Source organism: Homo sapiens, chromosome 11, assembly GCF_000001405.40.
Source record: "Homo sapiens chromosome 11, GRCh38.p14 Primary Assembly".
Classification (NCBI taxonomy): domain Eukaryota; kingdom Metazoa; phylum Chordata; class Mammalia; order Primates; family Hominidae; genus Homo; species Homo sapiens.
In genome coordinates, this window is record NC_000011.10 from 18,214,481 (window position 1) to 18,226,348 (window position 11,868).

Here is an 11,868-nt window from a genome sequence, read left to right on the forward strand (position 1 = left end):
AATGTTCCAGAGTTAACACTTTTTTTGGATAATTTGGAATAAAGTTTGTTTTTCAAGTCAAAAAAAAAAGAAAGAAAGAAAACTCTGACTAATACAGACTGCAACTCTTAGGTGAGTCCTAGTGCTGAATCAGGCCCAGACACAGTGGACTGGGCAAGGACGGCACGTAGGGGCAGACAAATTACTGAGACACCAGCTGGGGTGCTAAGGGAGTGCTGGTATCACCCTCCCCTAAGCCCAGGCTGCACAGTTTGTGGTTCCAAAAGAGAATTCAGCCTTCCACTTAAGGAGATGAGAGGGAAGAGTGGGGAGAACTTTGTCTTCCATCTTGAATACCCACCCAGCCACAGAAAAATAGGGCACTAGTCAGAGTCACAAGGCCCTGGCTCCTGGATAACATTTCCAGATACACCCTGGCCTGAAGGGAACCCACAGCTTTGAAAAGAAAAACCCAGTCCTGGCGCCATGCATCACCCACTAACTGAAGAGCCCTTGGGCCCTGAATAACCAGCAGCAATACCCAGGTACTATATTGAGGGCCTTGAGTGAGCCTCAGGACTTGCTGCTTCAGGTGACACTCAGCACATTACCAGCAGTGGTGGCGATGGAGTGAAACTCCTTCTGCTTGAGAAAATCAGAGGAAAAAGTAAAGGAGGCTTCACCTTGCACTGGTGCACAGGTGCCACCAGCGCCACATGGGGTAGAGCACCAAGCAGGCTGTTGGGGTGCCCAATTCCAGGACGTGGCTCTTGGCATTTCTGGACCTGCCCTTGGACAGAGGAGACCCCACTGCTCTGAAGGGTGACTTTTAAGCCACACAACATTCACCACAAACTGACTAAAGAGCCCTTGGGCTTTAAGGGAACATTGGTATTAGTCTGGTGGTACTACCTGTAAGCCTGTGGTGGTAGTGGCCACGGGGTGAGGCTTCTTTGCCTTTAAAAAGGGGAGGGAAGAGTGGGAACAACTGCATCTTGTGGTTTGAGTGCCACCCTAGCTGTAGTACAATAGAAAACAGGTAAATTTCTAAGGTTTTGGACTCTAGTCCCTGAATCCTGGTTGGCACCTCTAGACCCACCTGGAACCTGAGGATACTCACCACCCTGAAGGGAAGGACACAGGCCTGACTGGCTTTGCCACCTGCTGATTGTAGAGCCCCAGGGCCTTGAGTGAACATAGGCAGTAGCCAGAGAGTGGTTATAGCAGACCTTCGGCAAGACCTTGTGCTGTGCTGGCTTCAGGTCTGACCCAGACCAGTCACAGTGGTTGTGGCCACAGGGGTGCTTGTGTCACTCCACCCCCAACTTTAGGTGGCTTAGAACAGGGAGACAGACTCAATTTGTTTGGGAGAAGTAAGAGAAGAGAACAAGAGTCTCTGCTTGGTAATCCAGAGAATTATCCTGAATATTGTCCAAAACCATCAAGGCAGTACCTCTACAAGTCTGCAAGAACCACAGCTTTACTGGTCTTGGGATGCCTGCTAAAACACATACAGTTTAGATCAAAATACTCAAATCTGTCCAGATATCTGGAAAGGCTTCCCAAGAAAGTTGAGTACAAAAAATCCCAGACAGAACACTACAATAAATACTTTAGCTCTTCAGTGCCCAGACACTGAAGAACATCTATTAGCATCAACACAATTTAGAAAAACATGACCTCATCAAATGAACTAAATAAGGCACCAGAGACCTATCCTGGATAAATAGAGATACGTGACTTTTCAGACAGAAAATTCAAAATAGCTGCATTAAGGAAACTCAAAGAAATTCAAAATAACACAGAGAATAAATTTATAATTCTATCAGATAAATTTAACAAAGATACTGAAATAATTAAAAAGAATTAAACAGAAATTCTGGAGCTGAAAAATGCAATTGGCATGCTGAAGAATGTATCAGAGTCTTTTAATAGCAGAACTGATGAAGCAGAAGAAAGAATTAGTGAGCTTGAAGACAGCTTATTTGAAAATACTCAACAGGCTGGGTGCAGGGGCTCATGCCTATAATCCCAGCATTTTGGGAGGCTGAGGTGGGTGGATTGGTTGAGGCCAGGAGTTTGAAACCAGTCTGGGCAATATGGCAAAACCCCATCTCTACTAAAAATACAAAAATTAGCTGGGTGTGGTGATGTGCACCTGTAGTTCCAGCTATTTGGAAGGCTGAGGCACAAGAATCACTAGAGCCCAGGAAGCAGAGGTTGCAGCAAGCCTGGGCAACAGAGTGATACTCTGTCTGAAAAAATAATAATAATAATAATCAAAAAAGCAAGAGAATAAGGAATAAAAACCAATGGAGCACACCTACAGGATCTAGAAAACAGTCTCAGAAAGGCAAATCCAAGAGTTATTGGCCTTAAAGAGGAGGTACAGAAAGAGATGGGGTAGAAAGTTTATTCAAAGGGATAATAACAGAGAACTTCCCAAACCTAGAGAAAAATATTAATATCCAAGTACTAGAAGGTTATAGAACACCAGGCAGAATTAACTCAAAGAACACTACCTCAAGGCACTTAATAATCAAACTTCTGTCCAGGCACAGTAGCTCATATCTGTAATCCCAGCACTTTGTGGGACAGATGCAAATGAATCACTTGAATCCAGGGGTTTGAGACCAGCCTGCCTCTGCAATAATACAAAAAATTAGCCAGATATGCTTTCACATGCCTGTAGTCCCAGCTATCAGGGGTCTGAGGTGGGAAGTTTACTTGATCCTAGAAGGTTGAGCCTGCACCACTGCACACCAGCCTGGGTGACAGAGTGAGACCCTGTCTCAAAAAATGACAATAATAATAATAAAACTTTTAAATGATAAAGAAAGGATCCTAAAAGCAGCAAGAGAAAATAAACAACATACAATGGAGTTCCAATACATATGGCAACAGACATGTCAGTGAAACCTTACAGGCTTAGGAGAGGGGGCATAACATACTTAAAGTGCTGAAGGGAGAAAATTTTTACCCTGGAATAGTAAGCCTGGCAAAAATATCTTTCAGACATGAAGGAGAAATAAAGATTTTCCAGACACACTAAAGCTGAGAGATTTCATCAACACTAGTCCTGTCCTACAATAAATGCTAAAGGGAATACTTCAATCAAAAAGAAAAGGATGTTAATGAGCAATAAGTAATCATCTGAAAGTACAAAACTCACTGGTAATAGTAAGTACACCGAAAAACACAGAATATCATAACATAGTAACTGCGGTGTGTAAACAGCTTTTATCCTAAGTAGAAAGACTAAACACTGGACCAATCAAAAATAATAGCTACAACTCATAGATGGTACATAAGATATAAGTAGAAACGATAAGATATAAGTAGAAACGACAAAAAGTTTAAAAGTCAGGGGATGTAGTTAAGATGTAAAGTTCTTATTAGTTTTCTCTTTGCTTATTTGTTTTGTTGTTGTTGTTGTTGTTCATGCAAACAGTGTTAAGTTCTTACTGGCTTAGAGCAATGGGTTATAAGATAGTATTTGCAAGCCTCATGGTAACCTCAAACCAAAAAAACATACAATAAATATACAAAAAAATAAAAAGCAAGAAACAAACCATATCACCACAGAAAATCACCTTAACTAAAGGAAGACAGGAAGGAAAGAAAGAAGGAAGAGAAGTTCACAAAACAGAAAACAAAAAAAATTGGCTGAAGTAACTCCTTATTTATTAATAATAACATTGATGTAAATGGACTAAATTCTCCAATAAGAAGATATAGAGTGGCTGAATGGATTTAAAAAAACAAGACCCACTGATTTGTTGCCCACAAGAAACATGCTTCACCTATAAAGACACACATAGACTAAAAATAAAGGAATGGAAAAAGATATTCCATGCCAATGAAAGCCAAAAAAGAGCAGGAGTTGCTATATTTATATGAGACAAAATGGATTTCAAAACAAAAACCATAAAAAGAAACAAAGAAGGTCACTATATAATGATAAAGGAGTCAATTCGGCAAGGGATATAACAATTGTAAATATATATGCACCCAATGCTGGAGCACCCAGATATATAAAACAAATATCATAGCTAACAAGAGAGATAGACTGCAACACAATAATAGGTGGAGGCTTCAATGCCCCACTTTCAGCAATGGACAGATCTTCCAGACAGAAAATCAATCACACAAAAAATTGGACTTAATCTGCACTATAGATCAAATGATCTAATAGATATTTACAAAACATTTTATCCAACAGCTGCAGAATGCACATTCTTTTCCTCAGCACATGAATTATTCTCAAGGATAGGCCATATGTTAGGTCACAGAACAAGTCTTAAAACATTCAAAAAATTGCACTCATATCAAGCACCTTCTCTATCCACAATGGAATAAAACTAGAAATTAATAACAAGAAAAATTTTGGAAACTGTACAAATGCATAAAAATTAAACAATATGTTTCTGAATGACCAGTGGGTCAATGAAGAAAGTAAGAAGGAAATTGAAAAATGTCTTGAAACAAATGATAATGGAAACACAACATACCAAAACCTATCGGATACGGCAAAAGCAGTACTAAGAGAGAAGTTTATAGGTATAAGTGCCTAACCAAAAAAGAATAAAAACTTCAAATAGACAATCTAACAATGCATCTTAAAGAACTACAAAAACAAGAGGAAACCCAAGACCAAAATTGGTAGCAGAAAACAAATAGTAACGATCAGAACAGAGATAAAAGAAATTGAAGTGAAGAAAAGAATACAAAAATCAATGAAACAAAAAGTAGGTTTTTTGAAAAGTTAAACAAAACTGGCAAACCTTTAGCCAGACTAACTAGACTAACTAAAAAAAAAATAGAATATCCAAATAAATAAAATCAGAAATGAAAAAGGAGACATTATAACTGACCCTGCAGAAACTCAAAAGATCATTAGTGGCTATCATGAGCAACTATATGCCAATAAATTTGAAAATCTAGAAGAAATGGACAAATTCCTAGACTCATACATAACCTACCAATATTGAACCAGGGAGAAATCCAAAACCTGAACAAAAACAATAGCAAGTCATAAGATCAAAACCGTAATAAAAAGTCCCCCAGTAAACAAAAGCCTGGGACTTGGTGGCTTCTCTGCTGAATTCTACCAAACATTTAAAGAAGAACTAACACCAATCCTACTCAAAATATTCCAAAATATAGAGGAGGAGGAGGAGGAAATACTTTCAAACACATTCTATGAGGCCAGTATTACCCTGATACCAAAACCAGACAAAGACATGTCAAAAAAAATAAAACTACAGGCCAATATCTCTGATGAATATTGATGCAAAAATCCTCAGCAAAATACTAGCAAACTGAATTTAATAATACATTAAAAAGATCATTCATTATGACCAAGTAGGATCTATCCCTGGGATGCAAAGATGGTTCAACATATGCAAATCAACCATGGTTCAACATATGCAAATCAACCAATGTGATACATCATATAAACAGAATGAAGAATAAAAGCCGTATGATAATTTCCATTGATGCTGAAAAAGCATTTGAGAAAATTCAACATCCCTTCATGATAATAACCCTGAATAAACTGGAGAGAGAAAGAACATATCTCAAAATAATGAAAGCCATATATGACAGACTCACAAGTAGCAACATACTGAATGAGGAAAACTGAAAGCCTTTCCTCTAAGAAGGGGAATACAACAAGGATGCCCATTTTCACCCCTGTCATTCAACACAATACTGGAAGTCCTAGCTAGAGCAATCAGACAAGAGAAATAAATAAAGGGCATCCAAATTGGAAAGGAAGAAGTCAAATTATCCTTGTTTGCAGATTATATAATCTTATATTTGGAAAAACCTAAAGACTCCACCTGCTGGAAACCTCTGTGGCCAGGGGTGCCTTTGCCCAAGTTTTGCTCAGTCCTGCTAGGCTCATTCCATTCACTCTGCCTGGCAGGCTGCATTTGGCTAGTGCTACTGGCCCCAAGGTCATGCCTGCCAAGGGCAAACCAGGCACAGAGTGGCAAGGGATGCATGAATGAGCGAGGGGACAGCCAGGCCTACTGGCTGCAGTGGGGCAGGCAGCTCCAGGCACCAGCATGGGCTTCCACTGCAAATGGCTTCCACTGAGGGTACCAGGGAACACGGTGGTACCTGGAAGCTTGGAGATGCCAGGAACCACGGAACCTCAAAGAGGGTGTCACGCCCCTAGCTTGGGGAACTCCTAGGTCTGGGCTCCCTGAAGGGTCACAGCTCTTCTCTCCTCTCTTCTCTCCTTCATGTTGCCCACAGTGTGGCGAACAAGAGGGATGTTTCAGTCCAGTTTGTGTTACAGCTCTTTCAGTCCTGCTATCCAGTGGGTCTGGAGGGTCCTGGGTTCTTGTCCCACATCCGGGAAGAATGAGGTACAGAGACAAGAGGAGAGTGAGCAAGGTGAATAAGAGCTTTATTGAGTGACAGAATATCTTAGAGGAGACCCTGGAGTGGGTGGCTCCTCTCCACAGGCAGGTCATCCTATCAAGTTGAAGAGACCTGAATTGGGTAGCTCCTTCCCACTGCTGGTAGTCCCAACATCTTCCCAGCTTTTAGCAGAGAGGAGACCTTGGAGTGGGCAGCTCCTCTCCACAGCTGGTTGTCCTGTGGAGTGTCTGAGTCTGGCTGAGCTTGGGGTCTTTATGGGCTGAGAAGGAAGGAAGTGCATGCTGATTGGCCCACAGGTAGCCATGGACAGGCCTGGAAAAGGCACTATAAGTTCTTATTCTGGTCCATGGAACTGGCAGCCTGGCCCCCAGGCTTCCAGTCATCCCTGGCTTAAAGGTAGGGCTTCACCAGGGACCTGCGCCTTTCTGCCCAGGAGCCTGTCTGCCTCCTGCCACTGTTCATGGTGCCCAGGCTGTTTGTGCAGAGGGGCACCTGCAGGCCATCACTGAGCTGCCTTCAGCAGCCACCTTTGCCTCCCTCCTGTGCTCATCAATGCCCAAAGTCCAGAGGGGGCTGAGGCAGCAGGGGGCTGGCATGTCAGCACTGCCCCAAGTGTGTGCACTCCCAGCCGGGTGATGACAGTGCCCAGGCTTGACCTCAACTTTGCTCTGAGATCAGAGTGAACACCGGGAGTGGGGAGAGGCCAGGCAGCAGTGGTAGGCACTTCCGAGCCTGCAGGGATGGGGGCCAAGAGTGCAGGCCCAGGTCCGCAGCCATGTCTTGGGCAGCTGCAGCCACACCTGGGAGAGTGGGGCTCCTGCCTGCTCCCAGCCCTCAAGAGCACAGGGGAGGACAGGGATTCCCAGGTCCACAGCCACAGCTTGGGCAGGTGCAGCCACACCCAGGAGGGCAAGGCTCCTGTCTGCTCCTGGCTCTCTCTGGCTCTGCAGAGCCCACAGCCCAGTTGCGCCTTCCTTGCTGCTGACAGCATCTTGGCAGTGCCCACACCAGGCAGGCCACCATTGCCATCACCGTGTATATCAACAGAGTGATATTGTTAGTCCATATGTCTTTCTTTTACTTCCAAGTGTCACACTGCTCTCCAGGATGATAACCCATCTACATGCTCTAGCAGTACAGGAGGATTTCTATAGCTCTACATCCTTGCCAAAACTTGGCACAATCCAACATCATTTTTTTCTAGTCTAGTAGATTCCATCAAAATAATGATTTTGTTTCAAAGGTATAGATTAAAGTCTAAACATTAAATAAGATATTATAGGGTTTCACAGGACATAGTAACAATCTCTGAGGTGTTTTTTGTTGTTGTTGTTGTTGTTGCTGCTGTTGTTTTACAAAATTCCTGTTAGGAATAACTTTTGTGTCCAGGCGCGGTGGCTCACACCTGTAATCCCAGCAATTTGGGAGGCTGAGGCAGGTGGATCGCTTGAGCTCAGGAGTTTGAGACCAGCCTGGGCAACATGGCAAAACCCATCTCTACCAAAAATACAAAAAAAAAAAACAAAAAACTAGCTGGGCATGGTGGCACATGCCTGTGGTCCCAGCTACTCAAAAGGCTGAGGTGGGAAGATTGCTTGAGCCCGGGAGGTGGAGGTTGCAGGCATACCACTGCACTCCAGCCTGGGTGACAGATTGAGACCTCCATCTCAAAAAAAAAGAAAGAACTTTTGTAAGTACAGCTTTTATTATCCTAACTGCTGATCTAGCAGCTACAGGAGAAAATGGAACATTTTCTCTTCCTTATCTTGAAGAAACTTCTTTCACCAGAAATTAGTAGGGCCTCTAGTTCTCAAGGTCAACTGCCTAAATTCCATTGGTTAATCCTGATGGATAAGCAGGCCTGAGAAGAAACGAATCACACTGGGGAAAAAGGTCAGAGTAAGGATTATTGGAATATGGAGCATATTTCATTGCAATCTTTATTAATTTGTATGCATTATGTGTACCTATGTGTTTGCATATGTATTGCTGTGTGGTGTGTGTATGTGTGTGTGGTGTGGGGGGGGTGTGCGTCTTGTGTGTGGAGAGTGTGTGTGTGTGGTATATGTGGTGTATGTGTGTGGTGTGTATATGTGTGGTGTGTGTGTGGTGTGTGTGTGTGAGGGGGTGTTGGGGGTGTGTGGTGTGTGTATGTGCTGTGTGTATGGAGTATATGGGGTGTGTGGGGGGTGTGTGTGTGTGAGTGGTGTATGTGTGTGGTATGTGTGTGTGGTCTGTGTATGTGTGTGTGTGGTGTGTGTGTCTGTGTGGTGTATGTATGTGGTGTGTGTGTGGTGTATTTGTGTATTGTGTGTGTGTGTTGTATATGTGTTGTGTTTGTGTACAGAATTGGCTTCAGCAACCAACCACTTCCTCATTCTCATCGCACCCTCTAGTCCATAGAAGGAGAGAGAAAGAGAGAGAGAAAGAAAAAGAGAGAGGGTTATAAACTCTAAACTATATTATAAATAAAATATTTGTTATTTGTCCTTGTCTGAACACTGGAATCCCAATCAGGACAGGAACAGTGTAGTTGGGTTTTTCACTATGGATATTCAGTACCTGCGAAGGTGCCCGTGACATAGGTCGGTTGAACGAGTCTTAGCTGAGTGGACATGTTCACTGATGGAAACTTGAAAAATACAAAATAAGTATAAGGATAAAAATAAAAAGCAATACTAATTTCATCAGCCAAGGCTGGGGGAGGGGTAAGGAGAACCACTGTAGAATCTTCATACTTGGTCTCTAATCTATTTTCTAAGTGTTTATAGATATATGAATACATAAACACCAAGTGATACAATATCTACCATTTTATAGTCCACGTTTTCATTTGGCAATTTAACATAAGCATGTTTTCATGTCATGCCCTTAGCTACCACAGAGTCAATGACAAAGCTGAAATTCAAATCTGGTCTGATAGGATTAAGTGTTGGGATTATTAACCAAATGCTATATAGCTGCAACCTAAACTTGGCAGCAGTATAGCATATATACAAATACATGTACAACATAATGTAATTCAATTACATCAACTAGCTTGATAATAACTCTTCCAGTGAAACATCAGCTGCATGAGAGCACTAGTCTTCTCTGCCTTATTCCCTACTGTATTCCCAGGGTCTAGAAGAGTTCCTGCCAATACTAGGAGTTCATTAAATACATGTTAAATAAATAAATAAATAAATGGATGAGTGAATTTCGCAAGCATCTTTACCAGAAAGGTAAATAGATTGAGGACTTTGTGTTAAAGAGAAGCATGGTACTATTTGGACAGTACTAAGTCCAACCCTAAACAGGAGTAAACAAAGATCACAGTGCATTGCACACTTGCCACAGGTCAGATCATGCAGGAACAAGGCCCATAGAGCCCAGCCTAGAGTTACTGTAAATTCCCTCAGCCATTTCACCAAAGGTACAAGTAGGTCATCGGCTAGAGTTTTTGCAAATATGTTTTAAACAATGTGGTTTGAAATAAAGCATACTGTTCTCTGAGAATGGACCTGGATTTTTTCCCATAATTAGAGATTGTAAAAAGTGAACCTAGTAAGTTAGAGGATTGCAAGATGGCTGCTTTTGACCCAAGTTTGGAAAACAAGCTGTTGAGTAATATTTTTTTTCCCTCTGACCACAGCTGAGACCAAAGAAGCTCCAAGTACCCCACATTGTAGAGAGAACATCCAAGAAGTAGAGCCAGATCTCATAAGCCCCCAAGGCTTATGAAGAGGTAGCAGTGTAGGCCTTCAGCAACCAACCACCTCCTCATCCCCATTGCACCCTCCAGTCCATATAAGGAGAAGACTGAGGAAAGGAATGGGGGAGAGAGCACGGTTGTCAGTCCGTGGGGAGTACAGTGTTTGTGGAGACTGGTGATTTCTTCATATAGATTTGGGATTCAGAGAGGAAAAGAAGAACACTGTGTAGAAGCTCTTTAGTTTAATTAGATCCCACCTGTCAATTTTTGTTTTTGTTGCAATTGTCTTTGGGGACTCTGCCAAAAATTCTTTGCCAAGGCCAATGTCAAGAAGGGTATTTCCTGGGTTTTCTTCTAGGAATTTTATTGTATGAGTCTTATATTTAAATCTTTACTTCTTTACTCCATCTTTTTTTTTTTTTTTTTTTTTTTTGAGACAGAGTCTCACTCCATCGCCCAGGCTGGAGTGCAGTAGCTTGATCTCGGCTTACTGCAACTTCTGCCTCCCAGGTACAAGCAATTCTTCTGCCTCAGCCTCTTGAGTGGCTGGGACTACAGGCATGCACCACCACACCCAGTTACCTTTTTGTATTTTCAGTAGAAACGGGTTTGGCCATGTTGCCCAGGCTGAACTCCTGAGCTCAAGAAATCTGCCCACCTTCTAAAGTGCTAGGATTACAGGCATGAACCACCACGCCTGACCTCTTTAATTCATCTTGTTAATTTTTGTATATGGTGAAAAGTAAGGGGCTAGTTTCAATCTTCTGCATATGGCTAGCCAGTTATTCCAGCACCATTTATTGAATAGGAAGTCTTTTCCCCATTGCTTGTTTTTGTCAGCCTTGTTGACGATCACATGGTTATAGGTGTGCAGCTTTATTTTTGAGTTTTCTAATCTGCTCCTTTGGTTTATGTGTTTGTTTTTGTACCAGTACCATGCTGTTTTGGTTACTGCAGCCTTATAGTATAGTTTGAAGTTGGGTAATGTGATGCCTCCAGCTTTTGTTCTTTTTGCCTAGGATTGTTTTGACTATTTTGGCTCTTTTTTTTTCTTCCATATGAATTTTAGAATAGCTTTTTCTAATTCTGCAAAGAATAACATTGGTAGTTTGAGAGGAATGCCATTGAATCTGTACATTGCTTTGGGCAGTATGGCCATATTAACAATATTGATTCTTCTAATCCATGAACATGGAATGTTTTTCCATTTATTTGTGTCGTCTCTCATTTCTTTCAGTAGTGTTTTGCAGTTCTCCTTGCAGAGACTGTTCACCTCCTTGGTTAGCTATATTCCCAGGTATTTCATTTTCTTTGAAACTATCAACAAAGTAAACAGACAATATACAGAATGGGAGAAAATATTCACGAACTATGCATCCAACAAAGATCTAATATCCAGAACCTATAAATAACTTAAACAAATCAACAAGCAAAAAACAAACAGGCAAAGGACATGAACAGATACTTCTCAAAAAAAGACATACAAGTGACCAACGAACATACCAAAAAAATGCTCCACATCACTAATCATCAGAGAAATGCAAATGAAAACCACAATGAGATACCATCTCACAGCAGCCAGAGGCAATTATTAAAAAGTCAGGCTAGGCGTGATGGCTCATGCCTATAATCCCAGCACTTTGAGAAGCCAAGGCTGGCAGATCACTTGAGCCCAGGAGTTCAAAACCAGCCTGGGCAACATAGCAAAATCCCATCTCTGGGAAAAAAAAATACAAAAAAGTAGCAAAGTGCAGTTGCATATGCTTATAGTCCCAGCTACTCAGGAGGCTGAGGTGGGAGGA

The 11,868-nt window shown here is 41.9% G+C and overlaps 1 annotated feature.

Moving 5' to 3' along the window:
- Positions 6,996 to 7,496: an enhancer, noted in NCBI's record as "H3K4me1 hESC enhancer chr11:18243023-18243523 (GRCh37/hg19 assembly coordinates)". NCBI's record gives its function as "activates a minimal SCP1, AML or CMV promoter by ChIP-STARR-seq in naive H9 embryonic stem cells {active_cell/tissue: H9 hESC(naive)}" and the evidence as "EXISTENCE:reporter gene assay evidence [ECO:0000049][PMID:30033119]".